At 40.0% G+C, this 27,923-nt stretch overlaps 1 pseudogene; it reads right to left on the bottom strand.

The window, feature by feature from the left end:
* Nucleotides 23,157-23,427, bottom strand: RN7SL795P (RNA, 7SL, cytoplasmic 795, pseudogene; annotated as a pseudogene).

Below are 27,923 nucleotides of genomic sequence, written 5' to 3'. Positions count from 1 at the left end.
AAGCTTTCCCTATCAATATGAAGAAAATGTAAGAGGCCGGGTGCAGTGGCTCACGCCTGTCATCCCAGCACTTTGGGAGACCGAGGCGGGCAGATCACGAGGTCAGGAGATCGAGACCATCCTGGCTAACACGGTGAAACCCCGTCTCTACTAAAAAAAAAAAAAAAAAAATTTAGCTGGGCGTGGTGGCGGGTGCCTGTAGTCCCAGCTACTCTGGAGGCTGAGGCAGGAGAATGGCGTGAACCTGGGAGGCGGAGCTTGCAGTGAGCGGAGATCGCGCCACTGCACTCCAGCCTGGGCGACAGAGCAAAACTCCGTCTCAAAAAAAAAAAAAAAAGAAAGAAAGAAAGAAAGAAAACGTAAGAGTATCTAGCTTCTGCGTCTCTGCTATTTATGTAGTCATCTATATGATTCCAGCGTACAATTTGTATGATTAGATTATTAGGGTCCTTTCACTCTATGAAGCACAGGAGAAAAGAATGAGGTTCCCTGAAGAGGAGCTGTTTACAAGGTGGCTGTTATGGACTGAAATATGTCCCTCACAAAATTCCTGTGTTGAAATCCTAACCCCTAATGTGACTATAGTTGGAGATAGAGCATTTAGGAAAGTAATTATGGTGAAATGAGGTCATAAGGGTGGAACCATAATCTGATAGGACTGGTGTCCTTTTAATAAGAGGAAAGAACACCAAAGCTCTCCCTGTCTCTCCTCGAGGGCACAGAGGAAAGGCCACGTGAGAACATAGCAAGTGGGCAGCCCTCTGCACGCCAGGAAGAAAGAACTCACCAGAAACCAGCCCTGCTAACACCTCAATCTTGAACTTCTACCACCAAATCTGGAGAAAATAAATGTGTCGTTTAAGCCACTCAGTGTGTGGTATTTTGTTACAACAGCCAGTGCTGAAGAATACATCTCGCAATGTGTGGCTTCGAGCTGAGAAAGAATGAAACTGTTTTTATTACACATTCCTGTAAAGAGGACTGTGATGCATCATGTGGTATAAGGAATGGGATCTTAGAGGCATTGTTTCCATTTACAGCAGAAACACCTTAAATATAACATAGGAACAAGACATAATCTCTTACTCTAAACTTGGCTATTCTGTTCATGTAAAGAAGGAAATAGAATAAAAGCAGGCTACAGTATCTAGTTTGTTTTGACTTCACTATTTCTTAATAAAGCAGAAAGTTGCACAACTAAGGTGAAAATTCACAAGTGTACAAAGCCAGAGCCAGAAAATAAGTCAGATATGAAACCCATTATAGGAAGAGACAAAAATATTGAAAGATTTAGAATGTCTCACTTAACCTAAATCTAAATTTCCTCCTATCAAGTATTTTATATTATTTACTTGTTCTGAGATAAGTGAGGAAATTGTTCATGGGTTTAAAAAGACATTTGATGTTTCTGTTGTTTTTATCGTTAAAAGCACAAGAAATAGCAGGAACTGGAATTCAGCACCTCACAAATTTAGGCATTGATGATTACACTGACACTAAGAAAAACTCATCATCCCAAAGTAGGTGACAACACTCTTTCTCTCCCTAGGGAATAATCCCTTGTTCAGACATACTATGACTGCAAACTATATGCAATGCAGCTGTCCTTTTTGCCTAGGTACCAGATTTTGTTGGGTACACATAGTAATTTGTATGTTTATAGTTATATTTCAGTCTTATTTAGTGTCCAAACAATTGGGTGGTTTCACAAAAATTTAGATTTCTTCCTTCTCTTTAAAAACCAAACACCTGGCAAGTATGGTTAGAGCTGAGCAGCAACTGTTCCTCTATTTGGGAACCTCAGCTCCCCATAAACTCAACCAAGGCAACTTCACTCATATTTGTTACCTTCCTGTCTCTTCCAGACATTTTCGTGTATAACCTCTGCTTTAATATTGGGAAGTTTTCCACCATGGCACGCATTTACCTATGCAACAAACCTGCACATCTACCTTAGAACTTAAAAATACACACACACACACACATGTGGAGGTTTTGCTTTTTTTTAAAACCAGTGTCTGTGTCCTGTTCTTCCCTCCCCATCAATACTTCTATTCTGATAAAGCAGTCTAACTGTAAACTGCAACACTGGGATGACAACTGGAGAAAGGAAGGGAGGAAGAAGAACTAACAATCATAAATTTGATCTTGGAAAGCACAACCCCTGCAAGAAAACTCAACCAGAGAATGAAAGACAGGAAGATGTGCAGTAATGCACATTTTTATTCTAAAATTTTAAATACTCGGTATATGTTATATATACTTCATATATATGTTCAGTGTCAGAGAACGGGAGATGGGGTTAGAAGAACATACTGTCTTATTTATCAAAGTCATATCAGATTTAACTTCTTCTAGATTCTGGGATCTGGGCTAGGAAATATACATCTCAACCTACCACCCAGCTCTAGATTGAACGGTATTCAGTGGTACCCAAGATGATATTGAATGAAGCCAAAGCCCCAAAGGCCAAGTCTGTATAGGTCATCCATCTCTTATAATGTGAGAATAAGTAAATGAAAAGGTAAAAATGGAGAAATACTAGTGGGGCTCACAGAAAAAAAAATGCAGAAATGTAGAAAAGGGGTATTATCTCAAAGATTCTGAACACAGATGTAAAACTAACTTAGCACAAAAAGAGAAGAAACATCTATAAGTGATTGGCCTTTTTTTTTTTTTTTTTTTTTTTTTTTTGAGATAGAGTCTCGCTCTGTCGCCCAGGCTGGAGTGCAGTGGCCCAATCTCGGCTCACTGCAAGCTCCACCTCCCAGGTTCACACCATTCTCCTCCCTCAGCCTCCTGAGAGGCTGGGATTACAGGCGCCCGCCAAGTGGTTGGTATTTTTTAAAAGACTCAAGATCAGATACATTTACATTGTTGTGCAACCATCAACACCATCCATCTCTAGAACTTTTTTCATCTTTCTCAACTGAAACTCTGTACTCATAAAACAATAACTCCCTATTCCCTCATCCCCAACCCTTGGCAGCCATTCTGTCTCCTTGAATTTCACTACTCTAGGTAATAGGGGAGCGGGGCAGGAAGTGCTGGGTAGAGAAGGCAAATCTGAAAGAGCTTGGTAACACACGCCCATTTGGGCTTCAGGAGTCACAGACACCCATCGCTAGACGCTGCCATGGGGCCTAAGCCCAAACACCCTCACCTGGGCCTCTGTACCTTCCTGTCTGGATGCTCCTGGTAGGGGTTTGAGCTGCGGGATGACCAAGCAGGCAAGCCACACCCTGTCACACGTCCTGCGAGGAGAATCAGGGAACTCTCCCATTTCATAGGTACCTCATACAAGTAGAATCATATCATATTTGTTCTTTTGTGACTGGCTTATTTTACTTAGTATTGAGTAAAATGGTAAACTTTGTTATGTTTATTTTAACACAATTAAAAAATGCTCAGGAAATCACCTTCTTTATGAAATAGGAGTAAAACGTCATGAGGGGAAAATTAAGCAATAGGCTATAATTAAATAAAAGCCAACAGGATATTAGATAGGTAGAATAAGAAAGAATTGCAAATAGATTCTAAAATAGAAAAGGTCATTATATTTCCCACTGGGATTTGGCAATGATTTCTTGTACATAATACCAAAGGTACAGACAACAAAAGAGAAAAACAGACAAATTGGAGTTCCTGAAAGTTTAAAATTTTGTGACTCAAAAGACACTATCAACAGAGTAAAAAAGCAACCCCACAGAATGGGAGAGAATATTTGGAAATCATATATCTAATAAGGGATTAATATTTAGTATAGAGAATTTTTATAACTCAACCAAAAGCAACCTGATTGAAAAATGGGAAAAGGACTTAAAAAGACATTTCTCCAAAGATATACAAATGGCCAATAAGCATGTGAAAAGATTCTCAACATCACTAATCATTGGGAAAATGCAAATCAAAACTACAATTAGATAAAGCCTCACACCCATTAAAATGGCTATGATCCAAAACAAAAAACAAACAAACAAAAACAACCCAGAAAATAACAGGTTTTGATGAGAATATAGAGTAATTGGAACCCTTGTGCACTGCTGCTAGGATTATAAAACAATATAGTCACTGTAGAAAACACTATGGTAGTTCCTCAAAATTTAAAAAAAGGATTACCATATAACCTAGCAACCCTCTATACATGAAAGAACAGAAAGCAGGATCTCAAAGTGATATCTGTACCCCAATACTCACAACATTATTCACAATAGTCCAAATATGTAACCTACTCAAGTGTCCATCAATGGATGAATGGATAAGCAAATTGGGGAATATACATGTGTATCAGTCTGTTCTCATGCTGCTAATAAAGACATACCCAAAACTGGGTAATTTATACAGGAAAGAGGTTTAATTGACTCACAGTTCAGCATGGGTAGGGAGGCCTCAGGAAACTTTCAATCATGGTGAAAGAGGAAGCAAACACATCCTTCACATGGCAGCAGCAAGAAGTGCCTAGCAAAAGGGAAACAAGCCTGTTATAAAAGCACCAGATCTCATGAGAACTCACTCACTATCACGAGAACAGCAGCGTGGGGCTAACCGCCCCCGGGATTCAATTACCTACCACCAGGTGCCTACCCCAATACATGGGGATTATGGGAACTACAATTCAAGATGAGATTTGGGTGGGGACACAGGCAAACCATATTACCATGCAATGGAATATTACGCAGCCCTAAAAAGAACAAAAATTCTGTCATGTGCTGCAATATAGATGAACCTTGAGGACATTACCCTAAGTGAAATAGTCCAATCACAAGACAAATACTGTATAATTCCACTTAAATGAGCTACTTAGAGTCATCAAAATCATAGAGTCAGAAAGTGGAATGGTGGATGCCAGGGGCTTGAGGAAGTGAGGAGTTATTGCTGAATGGGTATAGAGTTTGTTTTACAAAATGAAAAAGAATTCTGGAGATATGGGGATGGTGGTGATGGTTATACAACAATTTAAATCTACTTAATGCCACTGGACTATACACTTTAAAAAATTGTTGTGCTAAGTTTTATGTTATGAATATTTTACCACAATTAAAAATTTAGGAAAAAAGTTGATACTGGAAATAGTATACAGCTAAGCTGATGCTATAGAAAAAAAATGGATCTAGAATGCAGATGACAAACACAAAATAATCCCATGACGTGTGGAAAGCGTTGTTCCTGGCACCTAGCAAGGGCTCAAGAAAAGGCAGCCATGATTATACTTGGGGAAGGGAGGCATAAGATCTCTGTGATGAAGAAATAAGTTAATAGACAGGGAGAAGATGGGAAGGTCCTATGACCCAGAGCCTTCTAAGAACTAGAATATTCAAAAAGGGTCACCACACTCCAGGCCAAGACAATTCAAACAAAACAAATGAACCACAATAATTTTAATGGCAAGGATAGTTTAAAAATCCACAGCATAGGCAAAAAATAAACAAGAGGTTACCTAAAGAGAAAAAAAAATGTTTTCCTATTTGTATCTTTTCTTCTATACTAAATACTATCAGACTATTGTCTTATGGACAACATGCACTGTATTTAATGATCATTCCTTTCACAAAATCGTGAAAAATCAACTCCAACCAAGAAAGAATCAAAACTGAGAACTCAAGAACAGAAAAATTAAAGTTAGGAATAAAATAAGAACTTTAAAAGGAATGCATGAGATGAGGGGGTTTTGATAAAACACCCACAATGGTTAATTTTATGTGTCATTTAACTGAGCTAAGGGGTACCCAGATAGCTGGTAAAACATGATTTCCAGGTGTATATGTGAGGAAGTTTCTGGACAAGATTAGCATTAGAATCAGCGGACTGAGTAAAAAAGATCCATCCCTGCCAGTATGGGTGGGCAGCACCCAAACCAGTGTGGGCCTGAATAGAACAATGAGGCAGAGGAAGGGTGGATTCTCTTTTTCCCTGAGCTGCGACATCCATCTTCTTCTGCCCTCAGACACTGGAGTTTCTGGTTCTCAGACCTTGGGACTAGGACTGAATTATTCTACTCATTTTCCTAGTTCTCCAGCTTGCAAACAGCAGATCATGGGACTTCTCAGCCCCCATAATCACATGAACCAATTCCCATAATCTCCTCTTTCTCTATCTACCTACCTACCTACCTACCTATCACTCCATCCATCCATCTGTATCTATCTATATCATCTATATCTACATCTGTATATCTGTATCCTCTTGGTTCTGTTTCTCTGGAGAACCCTGACTAATACTACACCAAATCACAAAAGTCCTGTTGGGCATCACCACCTAAAACTACCAAAACTGACTGAATTAACAACATTAAGGAACCTAAAAATATAGACAGGCTGATGCCCTCTTCCATAATGGCTCCTCTGTCAAGATTTAAAGCAAAATAACTCATCATGATTGCTGTTTCTTATTATTATCTTGTTATTGAATTTCCTCTAGAAATGCCTATTCCCCACAGATGTTTACCACAAGATTCAAACTCAAATCAGTGAGTAGGTCTAGTGGTGGAAGTAGAGAATGAAACACAGGAGTTTATCAGATTATTCTCTCCATCCATGTGTGGGTTTGAAATTTTGCATAATAAAAAGTTTCTAAAAAAAGAAAAAAATATACATGCAGACACATAAAGAAAAAAAAAAAAGAATACTTAGCAAAATGAAGGTAGCCAATTTGTCCTTCCAGGCAAGAAATGCAAGTGAATTGTGTGAGGTCTTTTTCCTAAATTATAAGTGTTATAATTACTTAGTAAAGAAAATAAAATTTTAAAACTACGTTTAAAAAATAATTATACTTAAGAAAAAATACTGTAAGGAACCTTAAAACACAACTTTTAAAATCAGATTTTATTGAATAATGGAATTATTAATATTTCTCTATTTGTACTTTCCAAATTTCCTTTAAGAATTATAAAATTTAAAATGAATAAATTAATATCTGAGCTTGCTTTTTCTTGCACTGCTCTCTTGGATATATTGGAGAAAAATGAGTTTTCAGTGAAAATTATATTGTATTTTGTTATTTATTCATAGCCTGTCTTATTAAAAATAAATATATTCTCTTTTAAAGTCAGTACTTAAATAAACTGGGTATGAAAATATATTATCAAGCTAACTTTTTTAAATCCAAAAATTTTACAAAAGCAACTAAGAGTCACAAAATGACAATAGCATAAATTGATAATGTTGATTTTTATGGATCAAAATTTAAAGTACCATAAGCCACAGGTTTACTTTCTGTGTTCCTCCTTTATTATTTTAATGCCAGTTTATTATTGAACCTGTAGTCACCTTGCTCTTTAAAAGCTCTCACCAAAAAAAAAAAAAAAAAAAAAACCAACTCATCTATTTTATAATGAAAAGCACTCAATCTTTAGTCAAACCACCAGAATCAAAACCTCTATTTTTTACAAAGCATACTATCATTTTAGCATTTTACTTGATAAAGTATCTGCTTTATGATTTGCCTCAGACTTCAAGCTATTTTCTTGTTACACACTTTTTAATCTCATCACTGCTTCTCCTTGTAATTATTTCTTGTGCTGCTGTAATTTTCCATTGGTCTTTTTTAATTCCACTCTGTGTCTGAGCTGATAGCACACCTGACCTTTCAGGCATCCATTCATTTTGCAGTAAACTCTGACACCTGCATTTCTCCTGCCTTCCTTTTCCAGGATGTTTTTATCCTTACTTCTTGCATCCCTCTACATTTTGCTCCAAAATAATTTACCATCCCTGTTGTCCTCAGGAATAACTTTTGTTCCAATTGCGAAGCTAAATTAATTGGACTCTTTCACTGTCTCTTTGGAAAATTGTCTCTCAGTTGAACATTTCTAATTATGGCCTAAATAGCTCCTACAAATTAAGGTCAGAACCACTCCATTTCAAGAATGTTCAGACTATTGTTAACACAAAGAAAATCTTTTTTATGTATAAACAAACCTTTGGCTAAGTTTTCACCTATAATGTAAAGAGTTTTCCATGAGTGTTTAAATTTTTTTTTTTTTTAAGACAGGGTCTCACTTTGTTGCCCAGACTGGAGTATAGTGGCATGATCTTGGCTCCCTGCACCCTCTATCTCCTGGGCTCAGGCAATCCTCCCACCTCAGCCTCATGAGTAGCTAGGACCACAGGTGTGTGCCTCCATGCCTGGCTAATTTTTTGCATTTTTAGTAGAGACCAAGGTTTGTCGTGTTGCCCAGGCTGGTCTTGAACTCCTGGGCTCAAGCGATCTGCCCACCTTGGCCTCCCAAAGTATACATAGGGGTAAGCCACTGTGCTGGTCTATCTTTAAATATCTTGACTATCAGCACTGCTATCCTCAAAACAATGGGAGACTGAATATAGAAACAGACAATGACCACACCACATATAAATACAGAACTCTGACCCACAATCTGCAGCAGCCAGCCCAGAAAGTCAGATTTGCAGAAAGTCAAACTGTTTACAAGTCAGACTTGCAGAAAGTCAAACTGCTATCTCTAGCAACCAGTCCAGGAAGCCAAACAAAAGCCTCTGTAACAGTTGCACAGGGCCAGGCCTTGATTAATAACTAACAGCTTCCCTGATTTTTTTTTTTTTTTTTTTTGAGATGGAATCTCACTCTGTTGACCAGGCTGGAGTGCAGTGGCACCATCTCGGCTCACTGCAAGCTCCGCCTCCCAGGTTCACACCACTCTCCTACCTCAGTCTCCCAAGTAGCTGGGACTACAGGCGCCTGCCACCATGGCCAGCTAATTTTTTGTATTTACGGTAGAGACTGGGTTTCACCGTGTTAGCCAGGATGGTCTCGATCTCCTGACCTTGTGATCCGCCCACCTCAGCCTCCCAAAGTGCTGGGATTACAGGCATGAGCCACCGTGCCCGGCCACAGTTTCCCTAATTTTTGGCCCCACATCCAACTTAGAAACAATCAGAGAAAGCCAAATATGCACCCCTAACCCATCACATAGGATACCCCCTCCTCCAGCTTCCTGGTGCCAACAGCCTCCAATCAGGGCATTCCTGGAGCCTTCCCTTGCACACTACAAAGCTTTCCCCTCACCTGCCTGCCTTCGACTCTCTGTCAAATGCAAGTGATGGTGGCTGACTCCCTCACTGGAGCAAGCACTGCATAAATAATCCCCGCTTGCTCTCATTTAGGTGGTCTTCATGTACAACCACACTTAGCTTGCAAAAACTCTAATAGAGCTTAACTTTTAGATATGCTATGAGGGCTAAAATGTCCGTTTTCTTTTCTAGTTTATTATTACTGGAGATGTAAGGCTTAAACTTCTAAATGTGTACTACGTCTTTTCCATTAAAATCACACTTACTATACTGGCTTTGTACGTAACATAATTATTTGCCTTTTTCTCTGAGGACTTCTGTATTGATAAACTCATTTATTGAGTGCTTGCTCTGTGTTAGACATTGAGGAGTACATAGGTCAAAAGACACGGTATTAAGTAGGTGTTCACAGTCTAGTGCAGAGGGGACACTGCCATCACTTTGTAATCCATCATTTATTTCACTGAGTATCAGACCATCGCCTATTGCTCTTACATGTCAAATTTAGTACAAGGTGGTAGATGAATTTTATATCTAACAGGGAAAGAATGGGTTTTCTCCTCAGGTTTCTACCAGCTCCCACCTAGAGAAGTGGTTCAGGAAGATGAAAGTAGTACAGACTTCCCGACAGCTTAGAACCCCACTGAAATGGTTCTGGTTTCCAGAAATAGTAGTCAGAGAGCTAAGTTGAAAGGGAACAGATCACCAGGTGCTTAATGGAAACACAGAACTCTCCATCCTCACCAGGAAGCTTCATTTTTATTCTGGCCAAATATAGGGCTTTCCTTTGGGCTATTAACAAAGTCTCTGACAGCAGGGCCTAGAGCAAAGCTCAGAATTGATTTAAAGAACAAGAGGAAAGCCATTTTGTACCTCTAACTTTTCCCATCTAACTGGCAGACAGTGCTGGCTATTTCTCAAGGGAACCGTCTTCTCTCCAGTGGTTCAGCCAGATCGGGAACTCCCGCAAGTATCAGTGATATGAAGACTTAGCCATGATGTTTTCACTCCTGCTTGAAGATACTCAGATTTATGGTTTCCAATTTAGGACAAGAATTATTTGTTCCTAATTTACAAGAGAAAAACAACTCCATTAAAAAGTGGGAAAAGGACATGACAGACACTTTTCAAAAGAAGACATTTGTGTGGCTCATAAACATATAAAGAAAAGCTCAGCATCACTGATCATTACAGAAATGCAAATCAAAACCATAATGAGATACCATCTCACACCAGTCAGAATGGCCATTATTAAAAGACAAAAAATAACAGATGCTGGTGACATTGCAGAGAAAAGGTAACACTTATACACCGTTGGTGGGAGTGTAAATTAGTTCAATCATTGTGGAAAGCGGCATGGTGATTCCTCAAAGACCTAAAAGCAGAGCAACCACTCAACCCGAGAATCCCAAAACTGGGTATATACCCAGAGGAATATAAATCATTCTACCATAAAGACACATGCACATGTATGTTCATTGCAGCACTATTCACAATAGCAAAGACATGGAATCAACCTAAATGCCCATCAATGACAGACTGGATCAAGAAAATATGGTACATTTACACCATGGAATACTATGCAGCCATAAAGAAGAATGAGATCATGTCTTTTGTGGGAACATGGATGGAGCTAGAGGCCATTATCCTTAGCAAACTAACACAAAAACAGAAAACCAAATACCACATGTTCCCACTTACAAGCAGGAGCTAAATGATAAGAACTAATGAACACAGAGATGGAAACAAGAGACACTGGCGTCTACTTAAAGGTGGAGGGTGGAGGAGGGAAGGGAGCAGAAAAGATGACTATTAGGTACTAGGCTTAACATCTGGGTGATTAAATAATCTGTACAACAAACTCCCGTGACACAAGTTTACCTATGTAACAAACCTTCACATGTACCTGTTGTGGTGATCAGACCCAACACCAGGTCGTGGGGGTGACAAAGTCTGGCAGAGTCAAAGGATTGAGAAAAAGACAGTGAGAGAGAAAAAGGTGGGACACCAGGGGGCCATCGCTAGTGTGCGGAGGCTGCGAAGGCCCCAAGCTCTGGGAGCCCACGCTATTTATTGATAACCCAACAGAGAAACAGGTGGTGAGAATACGGAGGTCAAAAAGGACACGTTGCATTAAGCACATGATTTACAGCTGTGATGGTTTAGCATTTATATGGAACATGTTCTGATATTTGAGATAATGGGAATAGGAGCCTAGGAACCTAGGAGCAAGGAGCCAGCAAGTCTAGACACATTCCAGAGGATATTATGCAGGCCCTGCCTCAGTTTCCTTCCCAATACTCAGCTTTTTCCCAACATGTACCCCTGTACCTAAAAGTTAAAATAACTAAAGAAAGAAATCTTTGTTCTTCCACACCCCAGCTTAACTAGTCCACCATTTGTGAGAAAGTACTGTTTCTCCACATAAATCTCCATATTTATATATATGGTTGAGATGAGTGCGATAGCAGCCTCCAGGCAGGGGTACCCTAGAACCAGCAGCATGAGGTTGAACCAGCCTTGAAAAAAATAAGTCATGACAATTAAGAGGAAAAGTTATGTGGCAAAGTATCGTGCAGGTTCAATACCAGGGTTGTGCCAGAAGTTCTGATAGAAGAGAATTACTAATTAGCCTGTGTGCTCCATTCCCTCATTTGTTTTGCTTTCCATTTAACCTGACTAGAATGTAAAATTCCCTGCCTGAGATGGAAATTGTTCAGCCCTCTCATCACGTATTGTGTGGGAATTTTTCTTCCTTCCAAAACTACACTTCCAGGGGCATATGCTCCTTGCTGCCTAGCTGAAAAGGAATATTTGTAAAACTCAGTTACAAGGCCCAAAATGAGCATTCAAGAATATGCTGATATCAGGCCCGAACTTCTGTGTGCTTTTCAAGTCAGGGCATAAAACTCAAACCAGAGTCAGATTCTAAAATGAAAATGTTATACAGAAATTTTCAATTACCTACGAACCCCCACAGCTACTGTGGGGTTATTTGAAGGTATATCTGTAGAGATTACCTAAGCGAAAGGAGGGTTTTCTAATCATTAACACAGGGTTGGAAAATACATTCAGGAGATATTTGTTTTCTTTTCATCTTTCTGCATGAATGACAGTCTACTTTATCTTTGATGACCCCTGGGAAGAATGTGCCAGGTGCCCTCAGTGACTCTTCATCAAGTCCTTGACATACCTGCCTCCCAGTAGTTTGCTATTAGCTCATGCTTGCACTGAGACTACAAGTTCATGCTTCCGGACACTAAAAATTAGGTCATGAATTGTGTTTAAGGTGATACATTTACACATACACATGCATCCTAATTTGAAGGATTTAATTATACATTCCTTATACCTGCAAATTGAACCAGAACAAGATATTTGTGATCCCTGCACAAGAAAATAAAGAAACCTCATCTTCAGGCCACTTACAGTCTCATATAGAGTGTGATTTCTAACCACACCATTTTAATGACTGGAAGCTGATTCAAACTTCCTTTCTACTAAACCTGCACCAAAGCGTTTTATATTCTTCCAGATTCTTTATAGGCTTGTACTTGGTAATTAATCCCCCAGGTGTAATATAAAGTGAGGCAAATACAAATATCCAGGCTCCTGGAAGCAGCTGGCTGTGCAGGTGACGCAGGTAAACAGATCAGCATCTGGAACCTAATTGGAAAATCGGGGCGAGGGATGGGGTGGCAGGAGGAAGGAGAAAAGAAGGCTGCAAAATCAACCAAGCAACACTTCTATTTCCAGAGAAAGCAGAATTCACTGGCTAGATTAAAAATGACCACGAAATTTTATTGCCAGCTTATTTCCACAATGTAAACATTATTAAATGAAAAGAAACAAGAACCCAATTCAGTTCCAGTGTGAGTGTAAATAACAGTAATAGGCAATGCAGCAGCACACCATATCTGACCCCCTGGGTCCCAGGCTCATAAACCTCCTCTGCTTATGATGACAAACGCTCCAGGGTATAGTATACCCAGGCCCAGTGAAACTGCATACAAAATTGAACACCTTCCAGTCCATGAGTCTTGTTCATTCTTTGTGGATCGTAATGTATGATTAGAAGACTGCCTTCTCAGATTTTTGCTCTCATTTCAAATTCTTTCTGGAAAAGTAACTTTCTAAGCAGAAGAATGATTCTCAGTTGTTATCATCAATTGGTTCAGCAAAAAAAAAAAAAAAGAGAAACAAACCACCGCAAAAGCAGATTCTGTCAAAAACTGTATGTTCCTTATAAATCTTTTTAGAATTATTAGAACCAACTAATATATTAACATGCTAAAATAATTCCAGTCTATGGAATAACTAGATCAAATGGTTACTAGAATTGTTAGTAAATCAAATGTTTACTGAAAATTACAATCTCATAATTAAATCATTTGTGCTAAAAGAATAATTTTGAAACTTTGCCATAGTCCTTATGCAGTTTATAATCTGGGGAGAAAATAAGACATCGATGGAACAGGAAACATAGCACAAATGCCTTATCTGTGTAAATAGGCTGCAAGTTTATTTTCAGAGCAAAGGAAAATTTTTAAGGAAAGGAATATTCAAGAAAGACATTTATGAAGGCAGCTAGGTTTTCAGCTAACCCTTGAAGAATGACGAAGCCATAGCGAAGTGGCAGGGAAATACTGCAGCTGTGAAGAATAGCATGAGTGAGGTGCAGGTCATAAAATGGTCGCACATAAGATTAACGAAGAGAAAAAGCAATAGCTTCCCTCCATACTCAGACCAGCCAAATGAACAATATCACAATAAACTGCATTCACAAAAGCCTTATTAAAAAACTGTAAAGCACTTATAAATAAATCTTTCAAGAGAAGTGCATGATCCAGATAAACATCCTGAAACTAAGTGGAGAGAGAAATCCATTCTTACATAAGGAAACTTAATGCCAAAATTGCTGGTAATTTTCCTTAATTTATATATTCAATGAAACTTCAATTAATACTTTAATTTCTTAGAACTTCACAGAACTTGAAAACTTGATCCTAAAAGTCACGTAAAAGAGAAAAGCAACATGAATAGCAAAGAAATCTTGAAAAAGAATAAATTAATGCTTGCTTGGTATTATACAACACTGTAGGAAATTAAACAGTGTGAGTAAAGGTTCCAGAGATGATAAATAGATCAGTGAAACAAAACAAAGTATTCAGAAACAATCCCAATTATTTAGAGCTGAAAATATTAAAAGGTGGCATTTCAAAGCAGTGGGAAAGGATATACTATTCAATTTGCCCACACTGTGTTGGAACAATTGGCTATAAATTTTTCTTTAATAAAAGTAAGGTTAGATCTCTGCATCACATTAATAACAGACATCAATCCTCGATGCACTAAAGGACTCAGTGTGAAAAACAAAATTCTGGTAGCGTGGAAAAAAACAGAATTGTTTATAACCTTAAAGGGAGGTGGGAACCTTTCTTAAATAAGATGCAAAGCAGAGGAGCAATAAGGGAAAAAAATGGATAAATGGGCCTACATAAAAACTTTAATCTCTACTGCAAAAGAAAAGCCTAGTCTGGAAGAAAGTGTTTGCAAAATGTAACACATACAATGCACGAATATCCAAAATTTTTAAACTTCCAGAGGCCTTCCCTTCCCCTACCCAAATTCCCAATATAAGCAGAGCCCATAAATCAGCAAGCATCTTCATTTCTTCTTGTAAGAACTGGGAAAAAACAATCCTGAGCTAGAACCAGAGCAACGCAGAGGACAGCATAGCTCAGAGAGCACGAGAAACACGACACTTCCAAAAACGCAGGACAGATGTTCAGGGCAAAAGGTGTATCCCTTTTTTGGCGACACAGTTGTGAGAAACTGGTTAAGCTAAGCTGCTGAAACAAGCTCCATAGGACACAGCTTTGTTTCAAAAACCAGGTGAGATATGGCTACAAATAAGTCATAATTTCCAATGCAGAGGAAAAGAAAAGCACCAGGAATGAAATTCTGCACTAGTCTAATACCCCACAGGAAACTTGCTTTCCTTGGGTGGTCCAGGAAAGCCCAACTTATTCAAAATCAAGCAAAATAAATAAAAGGAACGGGCAGGGAACCAATGTGACAATGCAATAAATGAGAGAGAAGGCACCAGTAAAACTCATTATCAGATGAGTAACAACAAAAGTAAATAAATAAAAATGTTGCCAAAGAACAGAACAATCTATAGCCAAACATTTTGTGAGGAATTTAAAGTGTAATGGCCTCTAGAATGAAACCAGAGAAATACAAATCTTATCAGAACTGCTATACAATTCACACATGTGTGCGCACACATACACACACACACACACACACATCGAAAACAGAAGGAAACAGAGATCTCATTGTAAAATGCTTTTTAACATGTATAAAACCAGAAAATATATGAATGTAACATAAGAGAACTAAGACCAAGTATATCTATCATATCAACAACTATAAATGAGCTAAACTCAACAATTTAAGAAATAATTGATCACTAAACAAAAACAGTATATATATATGTATATGTGTATATATATGTGTGTATATATATATATATATATGTATATGTATATGTATTTTTTTAAAAATCTAAACAGAACTGAAAAGGTTGGCCATAAAAAAGAGGGGTAAGAAATGAAACCCGGCTGGGTGCAGTGGCTCACGCCTGTAATCCCAGCACTTTGGGAGGCCGAGGCAGGAGGATCACGGGGTCAGGAGTTCAAGACCAGCCTGGCCAATATGGTAAAACCCCGTCTCTACTAAAAATACAAAAATTAGCTGGGCATGGTGGTGCGTGCCTGTAGTCCCAGCTACTTGGGAGGCTGAGGCAGAAGAATCACTTGAACTCGGGACACGGAGGTTGCAGTGAGCCAAGATCGTGCCACTGCACTCCAGGCTGGCCACAGAGCGAGACTCTGTCTCAAAAAAAAAAAAAAAAAAAGAAAGAAACGAAACCCAAATAAAACCAAAAAGAGGCAAGAAATAGGGGAAAAGAGAGAAAAAGAGAAAGAAAGATCATGATGTTATTAAGAGATGCAATGAAAATCAGAGCCAAAAACTTTTTTTTTTTTGAGACAGAGTCTCGCTCTGTCACCCAGGCTGGAGTGCAATGGCAATGGCACAATCTCGGCTCACTGCAACCTCCACTTCCAGCTTTCAAGCGATTCTCCTGCCTCAGCCTCCTGAGTAGCTGGGACTATAGGCACGCGCCACCATGCCTGGCTAATTTTTGCATTTTTAGTAGAGACGGGGTTTCACCATATTGTCCAGGCTGGTCTCAAACTCCTGAACTCATGATCTGCCCACCTCAGCTTCCCAAAGTGCTGGGATTACAGGTGTGAGCCACTGCACCCAGCCACCAAAAACTTAAAAGATCAAAAAAATTACAAAGACAAACAGGTACTTCAAAATGTTTAAAGGTGGTATTCACAATGAAGATAATTTAGGAATACCTATACTCCAAGCAGCTTGGCCCCAACATCTCTAATGAAAAAAACACAGGAGACACAAGAGACAGATACAAACTAGTAGTAGGAAATGCATACTGTCAGTCTAAAGCAAATAGATAAAAACAAATCCTACAAATCTAAAAACTTGCTGTTGCTGGTAAGTAAACTTAACTATTCTATGCTCAAACACTTTGTTGAGAGGATATTTGGGTTAATGTCATTCCATTGGACTGACACTAGAAACCAGCATAATGTGGGCTTGAGAAGAGCAGAGCTGCAAGTCAGGGAGAATTTTACATTTGGCTATATTCAGTTTTACCACCACATAAAAGGGGAATATCCTAAAGGCTGCAAGCAGTTCAGAAAAGTATTATTAGAAAGGGAGATGGAAAGAGAAAAAAATATTCTTCTGCATCATAGAAGAAAAGATGTCATCGTTATTTTTTACTAAATGTAGAAAATATGTTTAGTCCTATTAGATTTATGTTTTCCTTTTATATTTCATTTTGACAGATATATCTGTATTCATAATATCCATGTCATATTAGTATAACATTAGGTATTGAATTTAGAAATAAACTATCTTTATATATGGGGGAAGTCAACATTTAAACAATTTAAATAACAGTAAGTTATATCTAACATATTTATAAAATTCAGAAAACAGTGAAGACAACATTCTTGTTAAGTATCCATGAACAATTCATAAAAAATAGCTGCATATTTGACTCCAAAATATGAATAAATATGAAAGCACCAAACTGACAGCCATAGTTGGGTAGGCAGGTTTCTGGCTTCCAGCCTTCATCCTGGGTGTCACTACCATGAGTTACATGACAAAAGATTTCATTTAGGTTACCAACAAGTCAACTTATAGTGAGATTATCCTGGATTATTCAAGTAGGCCGAATGTCATCATACCAGCCTTTAAAAGCGGAGCTTTATCCCTGCTGAGGACAGAAGAGGAATTTGAAGAAATGCAGAAGATGGGGAACATGTAAAGCCGGTGAAAGATTCGAACCTCGCTGGCTTGAAGATGAAAGGAGCCACGTGGAAAACACATGAAGGAAATGAATTCTGCTAAGATTCTGAGGTTGGAAGAGGACCCCGGGCCCTGCTGAGAACCTTCATTTCAGCCTTGTGAGCCCGTGGGCAGGGAAATCAGCCAGGCCCACCAGAATGTCTGACCTCCAGCACTGAGATCATAACTAGGTGCTGTTTGAAGCTGCTAAATTTGTGGTAATTTCTTATACAACAAATTGCATGTGGTTATCTCTGAAAAGAGAAATGGGCCAGGCGCAGTGGCTCACGCCTGTAATCCCAGTATTTTGGGAGGCTGAGGCAGGCGGATTACCAGGTCAGGAGTTCGAGACCAGCCTGGACAGCATTGTGAAACCCCATCTCTACTAAAAATACAAAAATTAGCCAGACGTGGTGGCACACGCCTGTAGTCCCAGCTACTCGGGAGGCTGAGGCAAGAGAATCACTTGGACCCAGGAGGCAGAGGTGGCAGTGAACTGAGATGGCACCACTGCACTCCAGCCTGGGTGACAGAGCGAGACTCTGTCTCAAAAAAAAAAAAAAAAAGAAAAGAAAAGAGAAATGTGAGATTGGGGTCAATGGAAACTTAGATTCATAGGAACAGTTTGAACTTTAAAAAAGAATATATTTATGATACCTGCAAGTTCAGTTTAAAATTTTAAATTCTAACCTCAGCTCAAGAAGCAGGGCTAAATCTGTACACTGACAGTGGGCCGAACAAGAGAGTGGAATAAAAAGATGAGATAACTATTTCTCAGATTTTAAGTAACAATATATGAAGGTTTGTTTGGTGGTTAAGGCTTATTTATTTTGTTCTAAATCTATTGTTAAACATATGGATACTCTATAAATTTGAAAAATGGATTGATCTTTAAATGAACTAATAAGGTTTTCTCAGAATTTTTATCACAGAGTACTTGGTAGTGTTGGAAATATTTCATCCAAAGAAGTAGAATATCAATTGCAATAAAGAGACTTGTCTTTTTTCCCCCAAAGTGTCAATGAGAACTGTAGGCAGTGATTTATTTGACCACTTTTTACAGTAAAATGCTGCCAAAGTAGAAATAATTACACTTGGCCAGCGTATTTTACTGCCATTTAGGTGATCACACACACATGAATTTATCTTGGCAATCGTAAGTAATATAGTTTTAACATTTTCATACACTTCATACTGGAATGAGTCTCACAAACCTAAAATTACCATATCAAGAAGCTAATTCAACCATTCAAACAATAGGAATATTGAGAGTACTGATGCCTTCAGAATTTTAGCCCCCTGCCCAAGGGCATAACAGTTTGGTAGTATCAATGTACTCATAATATTTTTAAGGAATTTGAGTTTAAATTTACTTCACTAACGTGAATAACCTCACCTTTATTTTATGACTCAGTATAAAACTAGTTAATTTAGCTTTTCAAAAGACTCATACATATAAACTTCATAAAGAGCCAGTTCCACTCTGAATTCTGGCTTTTCTCACACACATTTTATCAAGAGCGCAGGCTCCCAAGAGAGTTCTGATAATCATGTCCCTTTGATTCATTCCCATCCAAATTATTCACATGTAAATAGGTCAACTCAGTCTTTTATTTCTGAATTTTGTCCTCTCATGATGATTCAAAGAATGAGCCAATCTGTTACCTATTCATTTTTTAAATGTTTATTTTTCTTGCACAGAAATTCTGACATAGATATTAGATCACAAACAGGATAAGAGAGGAAAATACTTCCTTTTTCTTTTTTTTTTGAAATGGAGTTTCGCTCTCATTGCCCAGGCTAGAGTGCAATGGCACTCAGCTCACTACAACCTCTGCCTCTCAGGTTCAAGCAATTCTCCTACTTCAGCCTCCCAAGTAGCTGAGATTACAGGTGCCTGCCACCATGCCTGGCTTTTTTTTTTTTTTTTAATATTTTTAGTAGAGATGGGGTTTCACCATGTTGGCCAGGCTGGTCTTGAACTCCTGACCTCAGGTGATCCACCTGCCTCCGCCTCCCAAAGTGCTGGGATTACAGCTGTGAGCCACTGCACCCAGCCAATACTTCTTCTTTATATAACCTTTTAAATTCTATTAAACAATTAACCAGGGCTAGCTGAGAAAAAAAGAAAAAAAGCATTTTTAACCATCTGATAACAATGACCAAAAAATACAAGAAAATATACGAAAATATATGAAACAAACAAGAATGACTAAACAATACAAAATAATCAGTTAATAAAAAGTATACCCTAACTTTGAATATTTTCTAAATCACTAAACATTAAAGAATACATGAATAGCTTTAAGTTGACCTTTTCTGTGGGTTTCCCAGCTTACTTGCTGATAAATCATTTCTTGTTTTTCCACAGGCATTTACTTGGGAAGCCACAGTTTTTTTTTTTTAAATATACTTCCTCAAAAAATAAAAAGCAAACTGTTTTTAAATACACTTTAGATTTTCTTGGTATCTAAGTCCATATGTTTAATTATTTCTTGATAAAATCAAGCATGTCTAGTACCTGGTATCTAGTAGGCACTTAGCAAATTTGGTAAATATATGAATCTAATACATGTTTTGTGTTTCTGAAGTCAGAAGTCATAGAATTATTTAATGTCAGGTAAGGATACCTGATCAGACTGGATTAAGAAAATGTGCACATATACACCATGGAATACTATGCAGCCATAAAAAAGGATGAGTTCATGTCCTTTGTAGGGACATTGATGAAGCCGGAAACCATCATTCTGAGCAAACTGTTGCAAGGACAGAAAACCAAACACCACATGTTCTCCGTCATAGGTGGAAACTGAACAATGAGAATACTTGGACACAGGATGGGGAACATCACATAGCAAGGCCTGTCATGGGGTGGGGGGAGGGGGAGGGATAGTATTAGGAGATATACCTAATGCAAATGACGAGTTAATGGGTGGCACATATATACATGTATATACATATGGGTGGCACATATATACATGTTACATATATACATATGTAACAAACCTGCACGTTGTGCACATATACCCTAGAACTTAAAGTATAATATTAAAAAAAAAAAAGGATACCTGATCAGGAAATAATCCCATTGTCCTTGTACTCTCTTGTCTCTGACTATAACCCCACCAAATTCAGAGACTAAATTTTAGGTAATAATAATGCAAAATACCAGATTAGAAAAGAAAGCAACAGGTGTGCTTTATTTTGGAAGCAACACAACACACACACACACACACACACACACACACGCCAAAAGAAGCGGAGCGCTCATAGTATAATACACTATAATATCATGACAGTTGGAGTGGAAACATTCAGATTATCGGGGTAGGCATTCCTTCATCTCTCTAGCTAGCCTCCTTCATTCCAGAAAGAGGTGAGTGAGTGAGTGCAGAAAGATGGAAAAGAGCCTAGAGCTGCTGTTAAAGAGACCCACACAAGCTGTGCTTAAGACCTAATTGGAACCAATTTTTAAAAAGGCATTTATCTTACATAAGCTAAACCTGGAGGATTTAAAGTAAAACAAACATATTGTTAACTCTAATTATACTGTTAACTCTAATAAAGAATTTAAAAGATTTTTTCCAACTACTGTTAGGAACACATGGAGGTTGGAAATGGAGTTCTGTTCTGGACAGGTCCTTCTCTACGCTGAAGTAGAGATGTCAGGTAGGCAATTGGATACAAGAATTTATAGCCCAGGGAAGTATTAATAATTTGTGCTGCACTAAAATGTAAGGGTATGAGTATGCAAAGAATCCCTAACGCCTTGCTCTGAATGATAATGTAGGGAAAGGGAGTTGTCAAGGAATAGAAAGTCCAGGATTAAGCCTTGGTGCATCCCAAGGTCTAGTGACCATAGAGGTATCAAAGAAGATTCAAAAAGATGACCAAGATGGGGCAGGTAGGTAGTCATAGAGAAGAAAGAGTGGACTCCGATTTTACAGAGGTAACATGAACGTGTTTACAAGGAGGGAGTGAGCAGCTGTATTGAATGATGCTGCTAGGTTGAGTAAGTTGAGTATAGGCAAGTGTTTTAGGATTTAACAACAGGAGAGGTGGATGATTTTGACCAGAGCAGCTTCATGGCAGAAGCTGAAATGGAAGCCAGATTGGGGCAGGTTTAAGAGGAGATGTAAGAATTTGTCCTGCCTTTCCTCCCACTAAGCCTGCTACGACTCTAATTCCTTCGTTTTCTGCCCCTTCATTTTTTCCCACGATTGGCCCTTTTCTGGCCCCTGTACTTCCTTATTTAGTGCAGACCATAAGGCACCTGGGCCACTTCTCAACAATTCCCACAAATCTCTCACAACCCTGTCTTTCTGTCATGGTTGCTCTTAATGCCCCAACGCTAGCACTCCTACAATCTGCCTCCACTGCTCTCACACCCTGGGCTCCTGGATGCTGGTGCATGACAATGCTACCATGTAAACAATGTTGCTTCTAAAGATCATGTCACAACTTGATGACCCTCGTATGTGTTCTTGGTGAGGTTCAGCCCCAAAGCCTTCTGATTATGCCTCCTATCAATGCCCACCTTATCATTCCCCTTGACCTTGCTCCTACTTCAGTAAGAAAACTGAGGTCCTTGAACATGAACTACCTCCATTTCCTGCTGTCCCTACACCTCTATGAATTTGCCTACTGTAAGGAACATGGCTGTGCTTTGGTCAAGGATAGGCTGAGGTAGGATGTTTACATTTTGTGTGACTCAGCGAGTTTAGAGCACAGGTGTATAACTCCACTTGTTATCATAGGCATGTAGCCATAATATGGGAAGGCCACCACTTGGCTCTAAGCCACTATTGTCTGATAAAGGTATAATTGCCCTGCTGACACTGTCCATGTGCTTGAGCTGGCACCCAGAGAAAGAGAGCCAAAGCTGTCCATTTTGCAGACGGACGGGGGGAGCCAGGGCACAGCCCAGCTCAGCTCGTGACCAGAGAAAGAAAACTGCTGACCCTGAAGGCAGGGGAGAGCCGGCCGTGCAGCGGTGGGTGGGAGCCGGCCTCTGAGCCAGAGCAGACAGCCAAGACAAGGCGGGCAATATGAAAGAGCTAGTGTGAGTAAGCTGCTGATGAGAGAGCTGCTGAATAAAACTACATTTCACCTGCTTAAGACCCCAAGTGTTCTTTCAGCTATCTGCTCATCCACCCACTCCCTTCAGACCTCAGCATGGGTTGGAATCTGACCCCAAGCTGGGCATTTGGCACAGTCGTGAACCTGACACCTACATACTTACTTTCACCATTCAGAAAATAAGTGTCCCCTTCCTGTCCAAGCCAGTTCACCTATGAGTCCTCTTAATCCCACTCATTTCTTTTTCTCTTGGACTGGGTTATTTCTATTATCCTCCATCTCTTTCCAACACCTCACATTTATGACACACCTCACATTTATGGCAATGTGACCTCACATTGTCATGCCCTCTTCCCCTGCGTATTACCTCCTTCACCGCTCCCCTTTCTCTTATCATCCCTTCTCAATGAAACGTATTTTAAAAATCAGCCCACATTCCCCATCTCCCATCCACTGCTTCATTCTCTCAAATCTAGCTTCAATTTCTACCATTCCCATGAAATTGCTCTCAGACGTCAGTCACCGCCAAATGAACACTTTTGAGCTGTTATCTCATGCAACTTTCCTGCTACATTTGACTTATTTTTTTTTTAAGAGATGAGGTGTTGTCCAGGCTGGAGTGCACTGGCTATTCACAGATGCAATCCCACTTCAGCGTGGGAGTTTTGACCTGCTCCGTTTCTGACCTGGGCCAGTTCACCCCTCCTGAGGCAACCAGGTGGTCCCCACTTGCAGGAAATCACCATATTGATGCCAGACTTAGCATGGGCAGCCAGCATAGCGCACTACAGCCCAGAACTCCTGGGATCAAGTGATCCTTCTGCCTCAGCCTCCCAAGTAGCTGAGATAACAGGCACACGCCACCATGCCTGGCTTTACTTATTTTTCATCCCTTGAAATTTGTCCTTTCTCAGGTTTCTGAACTCTAAAACTATTTCTTTCTGCTTTCTGACAGTTCCTTCTTGCACATATCTTAGTGTTGGCATTCCAGGGTTCTGCTTGCAGTCCAATACTCTTTCTGTATTCTACTTTGAGTGCTTTCATCCACCCTTATGTTATTGATTACCACATACACATTGATGGTTCCCAAATCTAAATATTATTGTCTCTTTTGTGATTTCCAAATCATGGATCAGTTATCTCCCAGGTATCAGATGTAACAAGGACAAAACAGAATTAATTGTCTTTCTCCTGCCCAAACTCCTGACACTCATTAACATGATCAGGTTTTAATTAATGAATAAGCCAGATGCAACCTAAGAATATGTAGTCCAGGCAACCCAGCTAGAGATAAAACATTTTAGCACCTAGAAGTTATTCTCATAGTGTTCCTTCTTGATTCTGGCTTCAGTTTTAAATAATTTGCCAGGTGCCAGTCTAACATAGGGTGACACTTTCCTATGTGGAAAAATAGAGTTTTTCTAAGGAAGGGTTCATGATTTGGAGTCTTGCAAAGGAGGTGGCACATGGGCAGGGAGACGAAAGAAGGCAATAAGTATCTAAGTCCTAATTCTCTGATAAGAAGTGTCTATAGAAGTCAGGCCAGTTCTCAAATGAGGAGCCAGACCCATGGCCATTCTTGTGAGGGTATGGTGTGGCTGGTCCAGTAGCTGTGCTGGGATACAGAGGTGATGACATCAGACAAGTGGCCAGCAAAAAATAGTGGCTTCTATTAACTATTACAAACTTAGACTGTATACCTGGCATAGAATGTCTGCATCGAGGGATGAGGAAACTCAACTTTGTCTGTACTCCCCCAAGGAGATGCAGTAGGAAAGTCAAGGTCCAACGACAGAAGCACAGAGAACCCACTGTGTTCAAAAGGACTAGTGGTGGCATCTGTGTATGGTCTCAAATGCACTGGCCTCTACATGACTGCCATGGAGTAGATCTTTAGTGATGTACAAAGTGACAAGGAAGTGCATGCCAAGTTTCCCACTACTTTCCCAAAAGGACAGGGTAGAGGAAGGTCAGTGGAGTTTAGAAAGTTCCTAAAAATATAATGAGGTTGTAGAAATTATTTATCAAGTGGAAGAAAAAGGAACCAAACAATGTATCCAGAGACCCAGGCCAGGCTGAGGGATAGGCTATAGAGATTCCTGCTTAGTAAGCTCATGTTTCATGATGACCTGAAGAACCTTCTAGTTTGCAGTGGAAATGCAGCTGATATATGAAAAAGGAAAGACAGCGACAAAGGTAATACACACTTAAGGACAAGGGTAAGCCCAGAGAGTCCTTGTCTCAAGTTCAGGATCAAGTTTTGTTCACAGATGTCAAGGTGAGTCATGGCAATAAAAGACTGGGGTATGGCCAATGAAATCTATAGGCATGGAGGATTGTAAAGCACCAACTTCAACATCAAGGGCAAGGACACATCTCAGCAAACATGTGGGTTTCTGCTGTTGTGGTGGGCAGGATGCCATATAGAGGCAGCGTGGGCCCCACAGGGAAATGTGTGTGGGGTTTTGGGTGAGCCACCTCAACCCCTTACAAGATTAGGCTCAACTCATCTAGACAACTCAAACAATCCCCGTCCTCAGACAAGTAAGGCCACAGGCACAGTAAGAACCCAAGAACTTGATCTGTACTGCTTGATGAAGGGGACAAGTGGCTACCATCTTCCTACAAGCAGCAATTTTCCCATGACCCTAACAACTATCAAAGTTAGGTATTGGTGGGTTGAATGCATCAGCTTATTGCTCCTTGGGTGATTTTGGAATTTTCAGTGAAATTCCAAGTGGAATTTGGGTGAATTTGGAATAAGTTAGGAGTATCACAGTCCTCCCAGGATATTCTGATCCAGCAAGTCTGCCAGTGGGAGTTTACTACACAGGCATTGTCCTGGAGGGTGCAGTAACTGCACTAAACCTAAGGCTGATTGTGATGATTAATTTTATGTGACAACTTGTCTGGGCTAAGGGATACCTGATAGCTGATAAAACATTATTTCTGGGTATGCCTGCGAGGGTGTTTCCAGAAGAGATTAGCATGCGAATCAGTAAACTGAGTAAAGAAGATCTGCCCTCACCATTGTGAGTGTGTATCATCCAATACATTGAGGGGCCAGATAAAACAAAATAATGAAGGGTGAATTTGCTCTCTCTTCTTGAAACATCTGTCTTCTCCTGCCCTTGGATATTAGAACTCCCAGTTCTCAGGACTATGAACTGCAGGACTTACTCCAGCAACCCACCACCTCGCCCCCTGCCGCCAATTCTCAGGTCTTTAGACTCAGACTGAATTGTACCACTGGCTTTCCTGGTTGTCCAGCTTGTAGACAGCATATCTTAGGACTTCTGGGTCTTCATATTTACATGAGCCAAATCCCATAATAAATCACCTCTTGTATATTATATATGTATATCTATAGATCCTATCAGTTCTGTTTTCTGGAGAACCCTAATATACTGATGTATGATGCTGTGTCCACAGTGGTTAAACCCCTGGGAACCAAGTGCATGAAGCAGGTTTGATCCTTCTACCCACCCATCCTGCAGATCCACTCGAGTAATTTATGCTTCCCAGCTCTGCAACCTTAAGGTTTGCTTGATTGAAGGTCTTGGTTCCCAGCATGATGATCACTTACATAAGAGAGCACAGTAACCTTCCATAGAATCAAAAGCTACAGCTCCCGCCTGGTCACCGTATCTCCTTATGTTGGTGAATTAAGAGACAAAAAAGAAGGCTGGGCTGCCCTTGCTGCTTTTAACAGTGAATAGGACTTTGCAGCCACCAGTTCTCGCAACAGAAAAGAAGAAAACACATCCCCAACCCCAGCCCCTGGGACAAGGCTTGAATCCCCTTAACTCTGTAGGGCCGACCAGCTAAAATGTTAACCAATAATGAGAGAAGATAGAATGGGTGGTGTTCCCAATTACGGTCTCAAGAGCAGCTAAAGCAGGGAGTACTACTGTTTCTTCTATTGCTAACCCATAGTAGTAGTCATTTTTGGAGAGTGTAGCTGGCCACTACTTCGAGGAGAAATGTGTCATGCTTACTTGAGTGGATCTCAGTGGTACAGAGGGCAGGATAATTGTATTGGACGCCTCTTGTGCTCCATTGCGAATCCTGTCACTCCACCTCTGCCTCTAGCTCCTGTTGCAGAGCATGCCTCCACAAAGTCTGCACCCAGCTTTGTGCAGGGAAAGCCAGGCAGTGCCTCGCCCTAGGGCCATGTTGCCTCTCCCTTCCCAATCCATGGCTTCTAGGTCCCCTAGCAAGGGGAAATAACTCTAAAAATGTCTCTGACTGTTACTACCAGTTTCAGAGAGCTAAACCATTTTGTAGTTTCACTCAGTGTTATAAGACCAAACCACTCAAGTTTAGCCCGGCCAAATCACTCAAGATTTGGACTTCAAGCTACTCTATGCCAGAATGCCCTGTGATACAGACATTTCTGGGACAAAAATAGAGGTCTGGCTTCCCGCATACTGCAAGAACTGGTGGAGTGATAACTGTGATCATGCTGCAAAGCTCTCAGCAGGCATTTTATTCTGGCTTTTGCTGATCTGTTCCAGATACTTCACCTTAAGATGTTTTTGGGGTCTTCTTAATCTTCTCTGAGGGTGTGGGGGTCATAATGGATTCAAAGAGAGATACGGAAACTGATTAAACTCTTTGGTTAGAATAAGTTCCAGAACTGATTCAGAATGCTATTGATATGAAGTTCAGAGCATGTATATAGACAAGGTACCTTCTCAGGCTTAGACTGAAGATCACCTGCTTACAGATGGGCTCACCAGTGCTGAATGGGTGCCACCAAGCAGGAATAAATGGCCATGCTGACAAACATTGGTACTGTACACAAACCCAGACCTGGCCACAATGCCAAGGCTCTCTGAATGCACTACCCACCCAACTCCAGCTTATGTTACCAGGCCAGAAAGAGGGCAATGTCTACAAAGCATACCCAGGAAGGTGGACACTCTTCAATGAGGGGCATGGCCAAAGTTAAGGATTCATCCTGAGATGGATCACCTCTTCTTCGTTAGGGCTGGAGAACCAGCCATAAGCTCAATTGAAAGACCCCAAACTAGGGAGACAGAAAATGCAGGCCCTCCTTGGGTGGCACAGCAGGGCTTTTTGAAAGGCCTGAGGTCCCTGCTCCTGGATGAGCCACAACTGGTGCTGGTTAATGAAATGCCTGTAAAAGGATTATAGGAACTATTGATTTCTTCCCCTAGGCACTGCCCTATGTCATTGGAATTAATTCAAGTCTGAAATGGCGGGGGATGTTAAAACTGAAGGCAATCCTGTGACTCCTCATCCCAAAGAGCTGTTTGAATAGGCAACCTATTAGGGGCCATTCAACCCAGAATCTGGTAGAATGTGTGTGATATATTTTCCATCCTTGGCACCAGGCAGGGAGGA

This window comes from Homo sapiens, chromosome 18, assembly GCF_000001405.40.
Source record: "Homo sapiens chromosome 18, GRCh38.p14 Primary Assembly".
NCBI classification, from domain to species: Eukaryota; Metazoa; Chordata; class Mammalia; order Primates; family Hominidae; genus Homo; species Homo sapiens.
The sequence above is the reverse complement of the archived record's forward strand: the minus strand, read 5'-3'. Positions and strand labels throughout refer to the sequence as shown.